The sequence below is a fragment of the Homo sapiens genome, chromosome 1 (genome assembly GCF_000001405.40).
Source record: "Homo sapiens chromosome 1, GRCh38.p14 Primary Assembly".
Taxonomy (NCBI): domain Eukaryota; kingdom Metazoa; phylum Chordata; class Mammalia; order Primates; family Hominidae; genus Homo; species Homo sapiens.
This window is the reverse complement of record NC_000001.11, coordinates 165,400,676-165,418,839: the sequence shown is the minus strand read 5'-3', so window position 1 is coordinate 165,418,839 and position 18,164 is coordinate 165,400,676. Positions and strand designations below refer to the sequence as shown.

At 43.9% G+C, this 18,164-nt stretch overlaps 1 protein-coding gene across 3 annotated transcripts in view, besides 1 other annotated feature; it reads left to right on the top strand.

The window, feature by feature from the left end:
* RXRG (retinoid X receptor gamma) overlaps positions 1 to 17,918 on the top strand; it is a 44,205-nt gene extending 26,287 nt beyond the window's left edge. For all 3 annotated transcript variants that reach the window (NM_006917.5, NM_001256570.2, NM_001256571.2), the window contains 7 exons: positions 1,620 to 1,799; positions 7,731 to 7,891; positions 8,009 to 8,138; positions 9,150 to 9,282; positions 10,522 to 10,613; positions 11,923 to 12,028; positions 17,430 to 17,918. In NM_006917.5, coding sequence (NP_008848.1) covers positions 1,620 to 1,799; positions 7,731 to 7,891; positions 8,009 to 8,138; positions 9,150 to 9,282; positions 10,522 to 10,613; positions 11,923 to 12,028; positions 17,430 to 17,577 — 950 coding nt within the window. In that variant the 3' untranslated portion in view covers positions 17,578 to 17,918. The remainder of the gene's footprint in view (positions 1 to 1,619; positions 1,800 to 7,730; positions 7,892 to 8,008; positions 8,139 to 9,149; positions 9,283 to 10,521; positions 10,614 to 11,922; positions 12,029 to 17,429) is intronic.
* Positions 17,489 to 17,990: an enhancer, noted in NCBI's record as "H3K4me1 hESC enhancer chr1:165370087-165370588 (GRCh37/hg19 assembly coordinates)". NCBI's record gives its function as "activates a minimal SCP1, AML or CMV promoter by ChIP-STARR-seq in primed H9 embryonic stem cells {active_cell/tissue: H9 hESC(primed)}" and the evidence as "EXISTENCE:reporter gene assay evidence [ECO:0000049][PMID:30033119]".

Here is an 18,164-nt window from a genome sequence, read left to right as displayed (position 1 = left end):
ATAGCACACCAGCCACAGCCCGACAGTGTTTTCTCTGCTATGCTTATTCTAGTTGAAAGTCTATGAGGTTCATTTAAATATTGAAAAGCCATGGGAATGACTATGTCACACAGTTGAAAAATTGGTCCCATATTTCTCTAAGACAAATATTTCAGAACTGAGAGCACTAGGTTTTCTGGGCCCAAGATAAAATCCTGTATTTATCATTGCTGTGAGTTCAGCAATGTGAAAAGCCGGCCTGTAGTATGGTCAACCAATGAGGCAAAGGCTGGCTTTTCTTCAGGCAGGCTATCTGTACCCATCATTTCATCTTACAGTGGCTTCCTCTGAACTGTAAACTCCTGAGATGCTGGAAACCTAAGTAAAACAGAATTAGAAAGTCATGTCATTTCTGTAACTCAATGACATCACATATTACATTCAAAGAATCAGACACAAATATGTTTTGAATGATTTGTTTCCTTATATTTTTGAAGTTCTGCAATTTCAATCAATCAAGCATAGTGCCTGGTATTAAGAAGACTTCTACCTAGAAAAAGGATTGTGATTGATTCATGATGCCTGTCTGAGGATGGGCTTGGTGGCTCTCCTGACCTAAATTAGCCACCCCTGCCTGGGGTAATTGAAAACTGCATGTGTGGACAGGTAATAAGGGCAATGAAATATGCAACAAATTAGTCTGGATTAAGCAAAATCACCTTCTTTTTTTTTTTTTTTTTTTTTTTTTTTGAGACGGGATCTCGCTCTGTCACTCAGGCTAGAGTGCAGGGGCATGATCTTGGCTCACTGCAACCTCCGCCTCCAGGGTTCAAGTGATTCCCATACCTCAGCCTCTGGAGTAGCTGAGACCACAGGCATGTGCCACCATGCGCGGCTAATTTTTGTATATATATATTTTAACAGAGACGAGGTTTTACCATGTTGGCCAGGCTGGTCTAAAAGCTCCTGACCTCAAGTGATCTTCCCACCTCAGCCTCCCAAAGTGCTGGGATTACAGGCGTGAGCCACCATGCCCGGCTGCAAAATCAGCTTCTATCAGATCTTTATGTCATAGCTTGATTGTCATATGATGATATAAAGATCAAACAGCAATTAATTTCCTCAACAGTCAATAGCACTTAACAATTCATAACTCAGAATTCTGTTCATAGTTTATGGTAAAGGATAATAAATTTAAATAGGTTTCCTAAGAACTTGGGTCTCAATTATAATTAGTTAAGTTGGGGTTCTTTTCCTGCTAGGTAATACGTGACAAGCATATATATTTTTATTTATTATTTACACTAATGTTTTGAATGGAGGCAGAACATTTGCTTAACTAAACCCAAGAGTTGCCTTTATAAAATAAATATAAAGAAAGCCTTAGCTTTAGGAATTTTCTAATAATTCTCTCTGGAATTAGTAATGCAGAGGAAAGACACGAGGACAAGTGTATTTGCTGTGTCTTAGTTTGGTTCCTGTGATCAAGCCTGCATTCTCTGCTAGTGATTATTTGCTTTCTGTCCCAATGCCCAAGTGATATGCCTGTTTCTCTGGGGGAAGAGCCAAGAGGTTCTTTTGAATGAAAGATCCAAATAAACACAAGAACAATCTATGGAATGTTCTTTTCTTCTAACCAGGAAAGCACTACGGGGTATACAGTTGTGAAGGCTGCAAAGGGTTCTTCAAGAGGACGATAAGGAAGGACCTCATCTACACGTGTCGGGATAATAAAGACTGCCTCATTGACAAGCGTCAGCGCAACCGCTGCCAGTACTGTCGCTATCAGAAGTGCCTTGTCATGGGCATGAAGAGGGAAGGTGAGACACATTCAGTTCCAAAACTCGTGTCCGGAGAGAGGCATTTCCTAGGCAAGGGGACATTCAACTGCAATACACGAGAAGTCATGGTGCCCAAAGTCATCCTAATCTCCACTTCAAATTTCTTTCCCACAGGGCTCTAAAGAGAAGTCTGAATAGGAAATTAGGATGACTTTGGGTACTCGTGTATTGCAATTGAATGTACCCTTTTCCTAGGAAGTGTGTCTCTCCAGAGCAGAGAGGGCAAGAGGCATCTTCCTCCTCCACATTTACCCATCCTCTTCTGGAGCCCAGATGGTGATCCCCAAACTGGACCGTCTCCTTTTTTCTTCCAATAACCAGGCAGCAAGTCTCAGAGCCAAGGTTTCAGGGTCCTTATGATCTGCTCTACCAATGGATCGTCAGACTGACCTTCAGGGTGGAGGTGACTTTTCTCCTCTAATCCTAGGTCTCTCTCTGGGGCAAACTGTAGGTTTCATTTCACTCACTGAGTTTTTTTTACCTGGGTCTGCTATCAAATCTTTGATATTGGTATATTCCATCATCTTTTGGCATTACTGGCATTACACAGGTTTGACAGACCTAACCTTCCCATTCAGAGAGACCACCACTGTGTGTTGAAACCATCACATCTTTTAATTTATAGTGTGGTTTAGCTGGGTATTCTAGTATGAGAGAAAAAAACCTCAGAAGGTGCTTTCTGTCCCGTTAGTAGACAGAAAAGACTTTCCATTAAGTATCACAGATAAATTGAAGTGGGCAGTTAATTAACTAGTGAGCTCAAGCAGGGACATGGGGATAGTGGTGAATCTTAATAGATTTTAGAGTAAGAAGGTCCTGCCTCTCTTTAGGAAATAAGAACAAGGAGTTCAGTCAGGCCCAGCACGCTCCTCATTCTTGAGGAACTTCTTTTCTGTGAGAAGAGGGCATCTTACTGAAAGGGTCAATGAAGAGGGGCTCTTTGTGTCCCTGCTAAAAGTGAATGTCACCCATGAGCAAACAAATTCTTGTAATCTTAACATGTCAAGATGCTAGAGGTGGCCTTACAGAGTCACCTAATCAACTGTAACCATCCGCCAGATGAGAAAACAGGCTCACAGAGATGAACGGAGTTTCCTGAGGTGCCAAAGGCAGTTAATGAACTGACCCCAGGTCTCTGACTTTCAGATCAGCCCTAGTCTGTGTCTCCTTCCCTGCCAGGTTGTGAAGGAACTGAAGATGGCCCTCGCTGTGACATTTAACAGCAACCTCAAAAGTGAGAGACCCAAATCTCAGCTCCTGAAAATCTGCCCCACACCCCAGCCTGTTCCTCACACAGTCTTCCCCTTTCAGGAAATGGCCACTTATTTTCCAGTTGCTCAGAACAAAAACCATTGACTCCCCTCTTTTTTCACACACCACATGTAGCGGGTGAGGAAGTCTTGTCTCTTCCTCAAACTATGCCCAGAATCTTTCCATGTCTCACTACTTTTACCACTAACCCCCCAATCTAAGCTAACTGTATATTTTGTAGTGATCTACACAGCATCCTAAGACATCTCCCTGCTTCCATCTTTGTCCTCCTACAGTCTCTTCTTAGCACAGTAGCCAGAGGGAGGCTTTGAACAAGTAGATTGGGTCAAGGTGTTCCTTCAGCAGAATCCTCCAATGTCTTTCCTTCTCACCCAGAAAAAAAGGCAAAAATCTTTGTCATGACTTAAGGTTGTACATAGTCTGGATGCCCTGTTGTCTCTCAGCCTCAGCCTTCCTGGCCTCTTTGGTGATCCTCAACTATACCAGAGATGCACCCACCTCAGGGCCTTTGCACTTGCTGTCTGTCTAGAATGATTTTTTTTTCAGGTATCTGATGGCTCACTTTTTCTCATCCTTCGTATCTTTACCCAATTCTCACTTTCTTGGTAAAGCCTTGCCTGGTTATATCATCTAAAATTGCACCAGCCACCCCCAACCCTTCCTTGTCTCTTTTACACAGTAGTTATCATGATCTAACACTTGTACTTATCTTGTTTACTGTCTGTATCCATGAAGGCGGGGGCTTCATCTGCTTTTTTCCCCCACTGCTTTATCACCAGTGACTAATACATTGTAGCCATTTAATAAATTGTTGAATGAATAGTTTAAACTGAATGCTGAAATCAGAAGTTTTAGAAGTGCAGGAGCTCCTAAAAATGACTCATTCATTTATTCATTGAGTATTAGCTGAGTGCCTACTCTGTGCTTACGTCATACTTGCTGTGGCAGTGGGATCAATGATGTTACAGATTGGAGCATGCGATATGAAATACCTGCTGGTGAAGAACATCTTTTTTCCACCAGGATAGAATTGGATACTCCTTGGAGCTTCCCCCACCATGATTATCAAAATGAAACTAATGACTACAAGTATTTCTCCCATTAACAAGAGTCCAGTGACTGCAGGGTCATTTTTTTCCCTCCTAAAACACTTGAGATAAGTTTCCAATTGACTTGGAACAGTAACAGTTTTCATTAAGCACATGATATTGAATTAAAGGAAAGTGAATGGTCTCAGTCAGAGAAACCATCATTTCTATTTCTCTAGAGTTATTCTAATCCATCTCTGAAAATGCAGGCTGAATATCCCCAGCTCAGTTAGGGACAGAGTGGTCAATAGGCCAAATGTTGGGAACTGTGGTTCGTTAAATGTTTTTAAAAAAGGAAGGAAAACAGGGACATGTGAACTGTAAGAGACACTTCTATGGTTTGGGTACTTTAATAGAAAGTTGGACCCAATTTTTGCTCCTGCATTTTTTAAAAGAATGTGGAGAAACAGAAAGAATAGTGAAAAGCTGAGTAGTAAAAATTAGGAGAGGGAAAGGAGCTCTTAGGGAACTTTCTGAAGAGATTGGCACCATTTACCCTGACAAAGGGAAGGCAAAGAAGTGAATCAATTCCTCCGCTGACTATATAAGGGGGCGCATTTCAAAAGGCTACTGGATAGCCTGTCCACCGCCATCATTTCTGGTCTTGATTTATAGAATTTGGGGCTCAGTTTGAACACTTTCTTGAGGACAAGAATAATAACATCCTGGAGCAGATAACAGAGAGACCATGGAAATCACACAGATAAAGAGATGGAATTGGGGTAGGTACAGAATTTACCTGCCTGGGATCAGGGGCCAGGACCTGTTGCCCTTTTAGGATAAATAATGTTAAAGCTAGAGTGGACATTTTCTATTCTCTAACGTAACACGTCCATTTCCTGAAAGACAAATTAGAGGTTTGGAGAGCCTAGCCCACACAAGCCCACACAGCAAGCACATGGCAGACCCTGTATAGGACTGGGACCCTCTGATTAGTGGGCCACCTCAGGAATTCTGGAATGTCTATTTCCATGATTTCTTGTCATATACATGTAGTTTCAAGACTGGTGAATGGATTGCCTTTGAGGCAGTTCATGGGCAGCATTGGTATCCTTGTGAGCCCTGTGTGGTCTTTATTAATAGACCTAGCCCAGTACCTTGGAGGCAGTACTGAGAGGTTAGAGATGGGCCCAGGAGGAGCCATTGTGGGTGCATGTGCTGGCTCCATCATGGCCTACCACATGCCCTCAGATATGTTACTAGTTTCTCTGTGGCTCGTAGTATGTCAGAGCATTATTGTGAGGATTAAATGAAATGTAATCTATCTAAAATGTTGAGCATAATTCCTGACACAGAGAAAGAGCTTCATAAATTTTGCCTATTGTAATAAGTGCGAAATAAACACGTGTTGGATGAATGGTTAAAATCCTTTCCTAAGGCAGAAGTTTGGTTTTATTTTTAATCATCCAGGGTTCCCTGGATGTACCCTGATGTGTGTCGTAACAGTAGCTCAGAATGTCTGACAAGTAGAAGCTACCCCCCAATAACAATATATGACTCCTCATTTATGACAGGAAGACTTAAGGCACAAAGAGGAAAAGTGAATAGCAAAGGGTTTGCTCATACAAAACCAGAATTCGAATCAAATTCCCTGACACCAAGGATATTTTCTCTGAAGCTTGAAGGTTATTTTCCTTGAGTGTTACAAATCTCTAGAAGACATTGATTGAGGACCACGAATGAAACTTAACTTAGTTTGCTTTCCCTCATCTTTTAAAGTCAAGACAAATAGAAGCTCATAACCTACCTTTAAAAAAATTAATACAAGAAGCATTCAACATTTCCCAGTAAATCCAAATATAATAAAAAATACATATTATAGTTTCTACATGTTGTCAGTGAATGAAGTCTGACAGAGTGAGCAGAAAGTAAGGATGAGACAGAAGGAGGAAGAAAACAGGAGAGAGAGGAAGAGGCCAAAAAGGGAGATGGAGAGATGAGCCCAAGGGGGTAAAAAGACACCAAAGGCAAGAGGAAATAACTATTTGTATTGAGTTTTTATAATTGCTTCATTCATCCTTACGATATTATTTCAGTTAACTACTGAAGAGTACCAACCTTAACTAAGTACCAGCCTTAACTATCTCAGTTAATCTCTGCTTCACAGATAAGGGATCTGGGGCTTACTAAGCTCAGTCATATGGCCAATGCCATTTAGCAAGGAAGGGGTAGAGTTATATGTGAAAAAGTTTTCTTTGACTCCAAGGCACAGGTTTTTTCCCCTCTTTTCACTATTTTCTCCTCTCTGTTCTCTCTCCCTTCTGTTTCCTCTTTTTCTCACCCTGTTTTGTTGTCTCTTTCCCTTATTCCTTTTCTTCTTTCTACCCTCCTTGCCTCTCTCTCAATGACACAGTACCATTCTTGTCTTGAAGCTTTTTGGCGTATCTCCACTAAGTTTTGGAGCATAAGTTGTGTTTTTGCAGTCATACTCTTCTCTGACCTACCTTGAGAGACTGATATGGCTCGCATGACAAACTAGATGTTCGGCATTGCGATTCCAGTCCATTCTGCAGCCTCTGGGGCTCATTATCTCCTCAGAGAGTAGGAGGCACTCTTGCAAGTGGACTATGGGGAGGAAGGGAGAGAAACAGAAATAGGAGCTGCTAGTGGAGTAGCTGTCATGGAGTTTCAGGCTAGTCACCTGCTTAAAGGATAATTTTCTTGACTTTGGGGATGTAAAAAATGTGTTCTAATATTGAATTCTGTTTATTGCTGCTGTGAATAAGATGGAAACTACAGCCTTCTAGATGATGGAAACTAACCCAACAGAGACTTTTCTCCTGATGAAGAGCATAGAATTGGAGGGGGCAGCAGTCTGCTTTCAATCCTAATGTATAGACATGGAGGGTTCTGAGAGTTGCACTGAACCTTGATGAAAACCCTAAGCTTTGGAGAGGCTGAGATAATTTCAGCCTACACCTTTGCCTATGTACCCTCCCCAACCTCCAAAATGAGCCACTGATTCTGAAATGTCATCTAGGTGACATCCCTCCACCCCTTCACTTACTAAATACCCACAGCTGGCTCCCTAAAGATCTTCCCTGACAAGTCGGATCAGGTGATGTTGTGTTCAAGCTGGTGCACTAGGGGCAGACCTAATGGGACGTGAATGCCAAGGATGATGCATAGGATCTGACAGAGGGAGTTTTTAAAGTAATGTGCTTGTTACTTAACTATTTCATGCTCACAGTTTTTTAGAGGCAGCAGGTAGAGCAAGAATGTGGGGATCTGCAGGGATAGCAAGGAGTGGTTGGCCCATTAAAAGAGAGGATACAATTAGAGTTTATTAAAGCTTAAAATGGATACTTCCTAGTGTCGTCACCATAATGCATTGGAAAGAATATGCACTAAAGAACCCCTCATTCTCCTTAGGCATAAGCAAACAGCTTTGCTTTCCTTGTTTCATCTGTCAACATTCCAACATCCCCAATTCAGGATCATAATGATTCCCCTTTCATAGATGAGTAAATTGAGGCTCATGTGGGTAATAAACTTTCCCACTGTTGTCCTGGGCATTATGGTAACCTCTGCATGTCCTGCTGCATGTCAGCTGTGCAAGAAGAAAGACAGAGGAGCCGAGAGCGAGCTGAGAGTGAGGCAGAATGTGCTACCAGTGGTCATGAAGACATGCCTGTGGAGAGGATTCTAGAAGCTGAACTTGCTGTTGAACCAAAGACAGAATCCTATGGTGACATGAATATGGAGAACTCGGTATGTGCTCTTAGACACACATGTGTGTTCCATTTCTTGGGTAGGGCTGGAAATGGGAGAAAGGGGTGTATTTGAGTCCTGGGACCTGTGCCTCACAGTACTTTGTTCCTTTTTCAGACAAATGACCCTGTTACCAACATATGTCATGCTGCTGACAAGCAGCTTTTCACCCTCGTTGAATGGGCCAAGCGTATTCCCCACTTCTCTGACCTCACCTTGGAGGACCAGGTCATTTTGCTTCGGGCAGGTAAAGCACATTGGCTGCCTTTTTTCCTGGGACAATTTTGAAATTGCTCTTGGGATCCTAAAAAAAGTAGCCTGATGGAGCTGCAACATGTCCAAGCTATGTACCATGCTGATGATGAAATAACCCTGTGCGGGGTTGTTCATTCCCAAAGGAAGCATCGTTAATGAAGAAGTGGGACTCTTTTCCCATGCAAATTTTACCACGGCTTTATAATTTGCATAAATTTTAAAAAGACTATTAAATCATTTTATTGAGGATAATTTGAAGCAGTGGCTCATTATTGTAATGAAATTGGCAAATAGAGGTATTCCCATTTCATAGGTGAGATAAAGAAGCCAAAGATGTTTGCTCAAGCTTGTACTAGACGGGTTCCACTGTCTTCCTATTTTAAGACTCTATGTGCTGTATTTTCTTTTGCCTCCTATTTCTGGGACACTTGCAGGCCGTTGACATATGCCATATCTCCTCTTTGTCACTGAGCCAGCAGGGAAATTTCATGAAGATTGGCTGAGCATTGGGAACCAGTCCACTCATTCATCCCTGTTAGATAATGAGCACTCACTGAGTGTCAGCTGAAAGCTACAGACTGTGTTGGGTGTTACTAGACAATGCCAAAGAAACAAAACTAGGTTGTCAGATCCTAAGGGGAAAAACTGCAAGGTATATTAGCTTTATCCACCATGGCAGCTAACATAGTGACTATTATCCGCTAAATGTTCAACCCACATTTGTTGACTGATTAAAAAAAAAAAGAATCCTTGTCTTCAAGCTGTCATTCTGGGTTGCATCTGAGAGAGAGTGGGGGGATGTGCAGAGCCATAAGTCAGGAGACCCCAGTCTTATCCTTTGTTTCTTCGCTAATGAACTGTGTCATCTTGAACTAATTCTTAACCTCCCTAGATTGTCAATTCTGCTTGTGTTATGTGGGATAATAGTACATGCCTTGGGTGATTATAAGTAAAGAAAGAATGTGTTCTGTTTTCCCTCAAGACCTCCTCCTTATCCTTGCAGGGTGGAATGAATTGCTGATTGCCTCTTTCTCCCACCGCTCAGTTTCCGTGCAGGATGGCATCCTTCTGGCCACGGGTTTACATGTCCACCGGAGCAGTGCCCACAGTGCTGGGGTCGGCTCCATCTTTGACAGGTGTCTCTCTCCTGCTTCCAGTATTTGTGTGTATTATGTGTGTGTGTGTGTGTGTGTGTGTGTGTATACACATGTGTACATACATGAATTCTCACGTGGGCATGAACCTCTGGGTAGTGCTGGGATGGAGGATGGGCAGCCCAAACAGTTAGCTACACATGACCATGCAGAGACCACTAGGCACATGAAACTATAAACCTGGGGAATGAGGGAGAGATTAAAAGAAAGATTGAGATCACAATAAGATGGAGCCACTCAGAGGCCAGCACAGTTGCCAGGCAGTTGGGAGAACCTATTCTCCCAATGGATTTCCTAAGGAGAGATTAGATCTTGACATCAGCTAGTAAGTTGTGGGTGGAGAGGGTGAACTGTTTATCCTGGGGGCCAAGGATGGGAAAGGGATCAGGATCTGTCCTCAAGAGGCCAGGCAAGATGGACTGTTTATGCTGGGCTCTGGATGATCTCAGAAGGAGGCCTGCAGCAGGAGCAAACCCATCTTCGTCAGGCAGGGATACCCTGACAGAAATTCTGTGCCTTAAATGATACTAAAGGAAAATTAAGCCATCTGATAAGGAGTTGAATAAAATGAGTAGTTAATGACTTGAGAGTGAGAGGATGGAGAACTGGTAAAGAGGAGAATTAAGTTGAAATTAATCTCTCTGTCCAATGCCAGGGCCCCGTTGTCCCTTTCTACCTCCATCGTAAATGGTCTTCTTTGGTCATGTGCACATCCACTGAGCTGTATCTATTACTTCCCTGCCCTTTCCCACATGTTCCATGTAGAGCCCAACATGGTGTTTGGAATGACTCATCCCCCTTCGTGGTAACCGGACCTTTCTACCAGTTCATTGAATGCTGCCCTCTGCTGTGTTTTTCTAGACATGCAATCCCCTTACCTTGCTGTGCCTGTTGCGTTTCTAATTTCCAAGACTTCCATGATGCCTTTCCATTTCCCTGCTTGGAGTTCATTGCTTCCTCTTTGGAACCCACTTGGACTTTGCTCATGGCAGTTATATTCCTGGGCATCGTGCTGCTGCTAGTTTTTAATGTCTGTTTCTTTAGTTAAACTGTAATCTCCTTGCAATGAGGGGTTGCATCTTTTTCATTTCTGTACCCCTAGTAACTGGTACATCATCTGGAAACAGAGTGGGCTTATAAAAATTTTGGTTGAATTCATTTTATTGGCTCTTGGCCTGTTACTTACGGTTTTCTCATTACCTGCTTGTTTCCTGTTAACAGAGTCCTAACTGAGCTGGTTTCCAAAATGAAAGACATGCAGATGGACAAGTCGGAACTGGGATGCCTGCGAGCCATTGTACTCTTTAACCCAGGTAACCGCCCTTCAACCCCAGGGGATGTGTGTGTTCAGCCCTCTTCCACGGTCAACCTCCAGTGCTCCCATGTTATTGGTCCTCCATCTCAGCTGAGACACAGATGGCAGAGCCAGGAATCCAGGAGAGCTCACAGTGTCAGCTAGAGCCATTTTGGAAAATGTTTTGAATGAGTGTGGCAGGCGCGTGTCTGGGGCAAGTGGGGAAGATGAAAGATGACGGTGGCCCAGGGTGGCAGTGAAGGGGGTGGTAAAAAGCGATCACATTCTGGATATATTTCTAGATAAAGCCACTGTGATTTGCTGATGGATTGAATATAGAATGAGAAAGAAAGAAAGGAGTTATAGATGACTCTCTGGGTTTTTTTTTTTTTAAGTTTTGTTTTCCTGAACAATGGGAAAAATGAAGTTCTTATTCACCGAGATGGGGAAAACTCCATGAGGAGCAAGTTCTGACAGCGGGTGGGTAGGAATCGGGATCTTGTCTTTGGACATTAAAATAGGAAATGGGTAGTAGATATCCAAGAGTGGCTGCCCAGGAAGCAACTGCTCATATGAGTCTGGACTTCATGGGAGAAGCCATGTGCATCTGAGAGCTGTCAGCCTCTGCCTGTGTAAGGCTGTGACACTGGGGTGAGATCATCTGGGGAGATAGAGCAGAGAAGATGGCTGGGGACTGAGCCCTGGGGCATGCCAACATTTAGAGGTCAGGTAAAAAAGGGAGAGCCAGCAGAGGAACCTGAGAAGGGGCAGGCAGTGAGATAGGGACAGAATCAGAAGGGTGGTGTCCTGGAGGCTCGAGGGAAAATAGTCTTTCAAGAAGGAGGCGATCAGCTCCAGCAAACCCTGCTGTGGTCAAGAAAGATGAACCTTCAGAATTATGTAGTCATTCATGCAGAGGCTTTATCTCCAGAATTAGGCAGTTAGTTCATCAATGCAGGACATGTGCCAATTCAGCTTTCGTGCCCCATCTTATGACTCAGTCCATGCTCAGCACATAATAGGCACTCGGTAAATGTGTGCAGGTAATATTTCGAGAATGGTCCGGATAAAATTAAGCTCTCCTCCTTAGAGTCAGTGGTGGGTACATTTGCCTATTCATGGAGTTTAAAATCTTTGCCCCAAGAGTTTGTTGGGTAAATTGGGCACAGAAAGAAGAGCAAGGGGGCATGAATGACCAGCTTTGTTTATTTCACACTTGTCCCCATCCAGGGTGTCTCTAGTAACTCTACAGAGAGTGGCCAGAGAGAATGGGGACAGCCTCTGCTGGAGGGTGTGTAATCAAAGGCTAACTCAGTCATGTCTTTTAGATGCCAAGGGCCTGTCCAACCCCTCTGAGGTGGAGACTCTGCGAGAGAAGGTTTATGCCACCCTTGAGGCCTACACCAAGCAGAAGTATCCGGAACAGCCAGGCAGGTGAGACAGTGCTGGCAGAATCGTAGTAACAGCAGCAACTACTCCCACTCTTCATCTACTGAGCCCCTAAAGTGCAGCAGGCACTGTTTAGGTGTTTTTAAATGTTATTTAATCTTCATAACAAGCTGAAAGCCACAAAAATGTTAATTCCATTGGGCTAGCGGCCTTATCTGTCTTGCTCACCATTCACTCCTCTAGCCTCAACACGTAAAATAGTGCCCGACACATAGTACACATCTTTAAATGGAGGATGAATAGCAAACAAATGAATAAATGTGGGAATTATTATCTCCAATTTCTATCAAGAAACAGAACCTCAGAAATGTAAGTAACTTGCTGAAGACCATAATGCTAGCACGCGGTGGAGGTGAGATGTGAACCCTGTTCGTGTGATTTCACAGAGCCTGTGTTTGAGGTGTGACTGCATTGCTTTCTGGTCTGCCCCCATAGAAACCCCCATGCAGTAGGAAGTACAGGCTTTGGCAGCCAGAAGATATGGATGCTGGTCCCCAGGGTGCCACGTGTGTGGCATCTGGGAAGGTGCTGGGTCTGAGTCTGGGCTCCTCATTTGGAAAGGTGGATGTTGGTCTAGCAGATCTCTGAGGCCATCTAGCAGATCTCTGAGGCCATCTAGCAGTATAGGTATTTCTGAGTTATTAAAAGATATTCTCAAAACTTTCTTCCAAAGTACAGCTAAGCCAAAGAGTTTTCCCTCTCTGCTAATGCCAGTTAAAATGAGAAAGTATGATCCTCAAATCTCATAGAAAATTGGAAATGAAACGGAAAAGCCTGTCTTGAAGACATTAATTTTGTTTGGGGGATTAATTTTACATGCTCCCAATGCTCACTAATGGTTTCCATTCCTCTGTGAAGTCTAATATCTACTTAGCTGTTTATCCTGAATCATAAGCCAACCTCTAGCAATTGTCCAGAAGAGACTGAGCTGTGTTTTTTGTTGGAGGCTGTGGATGAATTTGAGTAGGTGGGTTTTGGCCCTTTGGTGCAATGAATAGGCAGGGCCTAGTATATTAGTGAGATTAAGCTGTAATAGACCCACCAGATGCCACCAGTTTAACACAAACATCTATTCCTTGCTCACAAATCTGGGTGGGCAGTCAGTTCAGAGAGGTGGTTGCCTTGCATGCCATCACTCAGGGACCAAGACTCCTTTTTTCTTGTGTCTCCACCATGACCCAGAGCCATACTGTGTTTTGCATCCAGATGATGGAAGGGGGAAGAGGTGGAGGGGCAGAGAGGCTAGGCCATATGGGCCAGACCTCGGTCTTAGAGGGCCCTCACCTTTTCATTCACTTTCATTAGCTGATGCCAAGTCACGTGGCCCAGCTGGCCACAAAGGAGGCTGGAGAATGTATCCTGTTGTATGCCGAAGAACAGAAGAAAATATTGGATTTTGGTGAACCTGGTAGTTCACTATAGATGAGATTGAGAGAGCCCTGGCCAAGGGGTCAGGACCTGGCTGCCAGCAATAGCTTGGCCTCTGTCAGGTGTGAGCCTTGGGCAAATCATCTTAATTGAAGCCCTGAGTTGGATGCTTTCTATCAAATCTTCCATTTTTTGAGCACATATTATGTGCAGGACATTACAAATAATGAGAGTCGTACATATCATTTTCCTGAAATTGTCTCTGTCTTGCTGTTTATCTTAAAAAACCAACAAAAAACTCCAACTCACTTTTTTCCTAACTATAAAAGCAATGCATGCTTTGGTTAAAAAAATTATAAAAATATTTTTTAAAAATATGCGGTGGCTCATGTCTGTAATCCCAGCACTTTGGGAGGCTGAGGCTGGCGGATCACCTGAGGTCGGTTGTTCAAGACCAGCCTGACCAACATGTAGAAATCCTGTCTCTACTAATAATACAAAAATTAGCCAGGTGTGGTGGCATGAGCTTATAATCCCAGCTACTCAGGAGGCTGAGGTAGGAGAATCGCTTGAACCGGGGAGGTGGAGGTTGTGGTGAGCTGAGATCATGCCATTGCACTCCAGCCTGGATGACAAGAGCGAAACTCCATCAAAAACAAAAACAAAAACAAAAACAAAAAACAGGTAATAAGAACTTATTGTAAATATTTTGGTATATTTCTTTCCAGTGTTGTCGTGTATCTATTATGTCTCGTGTGTATCCTCGTGTAACTATTATGTATTACGCATGTCATGTATGCATTTCTAGATATGAAATTATACAGTTTGGTGTATTATTTTCTTCCCTTAGCCATTCTAGAAATTTTATTCAATTACTGACAACTACAAATTATCATTTTCAATGGTTTTGTAATATTTTGCAGTGTGAACATATCCTAATGTATTTAGTCATCGCCCTGTGATTGACATTTGGGTTGTTTCTAATTCATATCACTTTGAAAACTTTGGAACTTGACTCTTCTGCCAGAATATGGCTGGCAGGGGGCTGGGCTGCCTCCACACTCTGGGGAGAGAGGCCAACACTTGTTGCCAGGACTAGGGCAGAACTTAGAACTGCAAGGAGGTGGCAGAGTCCCCTGCATAGTCTCCTGGGTTTGTCCATCACAGCTTGGACTGAGGCTGACTGCCCTGATCAAGTGTTCATAGTTGGCTCAGTAGGTACATCAGGGGTGTCACTGGCCAGGCATGTGGGTGTGCTGAGGGCTGGTCACCTCTGGTCCGCAGAACCTGGTTGAAGGGGATCCTGGCACAGCCAGGTAGAGGCAGATTTCTCAGTGGGAGAGTGCTGCCACTCTGTGGAAACATTTCAGAAGTGCATGTCACAAGGGCCACATTCTGCTTTCACTCTGATCAGAAAGCAGAGATCAAAAGTCAGGTCACAGAACTCACACACACACTCTCTTGCACACACAGCAGGCACCTTCAAAGGCATAAATGCCCCTTGCTGCTAACCTGTGGGTGAGGAATGCTGTGACGTTCATGGGTGTGTTTATTTCTATTAGCCTTGATCTCAGTTCCTAAATCCAGGTCACACAACAAAGAGGGTAGTATGATGGCATACTTCGAATTTTAGATATTGTAAAATCGTGGCCTTTTTAGAGTTAAAAAAATTTTTTAAAGTTAATCCCAGTCTAACTTTGTACTTACAGAGAAGCTGTTTCCTTTGCCTACTTCCATAAAGCTTAACGGCAGAGGCACGGCCGGGAGTTCAGCCTCCTTATTCTCTAACTACCTCTTTCCTGAATGGTGATGCCACTCAAATGCTTTCAGGGGCTTTACCACTGGAGGCTTTTGAAGTAATGTGTAGCATTGGCATAGATCTTTAATTTTTCCATGTAGGGAAGCAATTTCTACTTTTTTAGATGGTGCCGCTTTATTTTCCTTGTATTGCTACATTTCTTTAAAATGTCTTATGGCATAAGTGTAGAAATATACACATTTTCAAGGAACATTGAAATTCTAATTTGTAACTTTTTCATGAAATAATGTTGTGACACTCAGTAAAGATTCATCTGGAACCAGAAATCTCTGACTTAGGGCCACAGTGACTAAAGTGATTTTGGTCCTTGAGCTTTTTTTGGAAGTTGTGAGTAGAGTGACTTTATGTCTAGTAGCATTAATAACGTTAAAAATGAGCTGGCATTGCACTGTGCACAGAGGGTCACACAGACAGAGTGAAAAATGTCACAGAGAGAAGTACCCGAAAGGACATGCAGATGGGAGATGAATTCCTTCACACACTGGTCTTTCTCCCTTTTGTGAATCTCACAACAAATGTCCTCAGTTATAGAAAAATGTGTGTGAGGGTGTGTATGAGTGAGTGTGTGAGGGTATGTGTGTGTGCATGTTGTAAGAACATGTTAGAGTGTGAGTGTGGAGTGTGTCTGCATGTGTGTATGTGTGAGTGCATGCATGCACGTGTGTGTAAGAGTGTGCATGTGCATGTATGTGAGACCACAGGCATGAGATATGTGAGAATGAGTGTGTGCACATGTGTGAGTATGTGTATTGTGTATAATGTGCATGAATATAGTGTGAGAGCATGAGTGTGTGGATGCGTGTGCAAACATGTGAAGTATGTGTGAAGGTGTGTATGCATGAGAGTGTGTGAAGGTGTGTGTGCATGAGTGTGTGTGAAGGTGTGTGTGCAGGCACATGTGAGTTCATGTGAAAGTGTGCATGAGTGGGCATGTGTGTATGTGTGAGGGTGTGTGTGTAAGTGCATGTATGCAAGGGAATGTGACAGTGTAAAAGAGTGTGAGTGTGCGTGTGTGAGTGGTGAGGATGTGTGTGCGGGCACATGGGTGTGAAGCATGTGTGAGTGTGTAGGATAATGTGTGGGTCAGTGTGTATGCATGTGTGCCATGTATCCTCTCCCCAAACAGACCATAGACTCCTCAAGGGCAGAGACTATGATTTTCTCTTTTCCTAATTTAAGGGTAAGCATAGACTAATAAGTTGATCATAAAAATTGGTAACAATTGGCCGGGTGCGGTGGCTCACGCCTGTAATCCCAGCACTTTGGGAGGCTGAGGTGGGTGGATCACCTGAGGTCAGGAATTCAAGACCAGCCTGGCCAACATGGCAAAGACCTGTCTCTACTAAAACTACAAAAATTTAGCCAGGCATTGTGGTGGGAGCCTGTATTCGCAGCTACTTGGGAGGCTGAGGCAGGAGAATTGCTTGAACCCGGAAGGCAGAGGTTGCAGTGAGCTGAGACTGGGCCATTGCACTCCAGCCTGGGCAACAAGAGTGAAACTCGGTCTCAAAAAAAAAAAATTGGTAACAATTGGTTACAAATTGGCAACAAAAATTTGGTGACTGTGGACCCCAAGGCATGTGCCTGTAGTCCCGCCTACTTGGGAGGCTGAGGTGAGAGGATTGCTTGAGCCTAGGTACTCAGGTCCAACCTGAGTAACATGGTGAGAACCCATTCTTAAAAAGATTTTTTGTGGGGGCTGGAAACTAAAGCAAATTGATGGCATGATGGCTAGAGTAAGGTTCTCAAACGTGTCATCTAATGGTGACAGCTACCATGGGTTGAGCACATTCAGTGTCTCACGCTTGGCTCTAAGTGCCTCAGCAGATCTGTGCGGGTACCCGAGGGACACAGAGAATGTGAGGAGCCAGTATGGCTGGCAAAGTGAGTGGACACAGTCATCTAGTTCTTCCTCTTCTCCACTGTGAATGAGGGGAGCTGAGGGCAGTCCTGGGACATGGCTACAGAATTCAAGATTCTTGAAGGGTCATGCGCTCCAGCTTCTGTTAAGGCTGACAAGCCCTCCAGCCTGTTTCTGAAGCTCTTTAGGCTTAGAGATTCTGTGACCCCCTTGTCTACCCTTCCAGCTCTTTTATCACAGATGGGTCGAGAAGGCCAATTGGACGGCCTCCTGCCAGCAGGTGCAGGTGTGCAGTGCCTGCCCGTCCCTGTCCCTGATGCCTCTTGGCTTCCCTGCAGGTTTGCCAAGCTGCTGCTGCGCCTCCCAGCTCTGCGTTCCATTGGCTTGAAATGCCTGGAGCACCTCTTCTTCTTCAAGCTCATCGGGGACACCCCCATTGACACCTTCCTCATGGAGATGTTGGAGACCCCGCTGCAGATCACCTGAGCCCCACCAGCCACAGCCTCCCCACCCAGGATGACCCCTGGGCAGGTGTGTGTGGACCCCCACCCTGCACTTTCCTCCACCTCCCACCCTGACCCCCTTCCTGTCCCCAAAATGTGATGCTTATAATAAAGAAAACCTTTCTACACATGAGACTTTTATAGGTGGACTTTTGTATAGATGTTAAAGGTAATACGCTTTGCTGTCTACAGGGCTGGGAGACTTTCTGGAAGTTCTTGGGAAAACTAATCAAGCCTCTGTACATACAATTGGTTTAAATTATTTTTTCACTTGCCCTGGAAAGCAAACAAATGAGTAATAAAATAATATGTGTGAAATTGGCACTGCTGGAGCATGGGGTGTGTTATTGTGCTACAGGGAAGTCGTCTCAGACATAGAGAAGGGATATCAGAGGCTGGGGTCGAGGCTGGGGCTGGGGTCCTGAGACCATAAATCCCAGAGCACAATGCCTGAATCTAAGCTGGGCTTTGCTGCACAGCCAGCTTTGCCCCAGGGCACATTCTGGGGAGACTGGGAAGAGATGCTGTCTTTCAAAATTAACTTGGTTTTTTGTTTTTGTTTTTCTACTA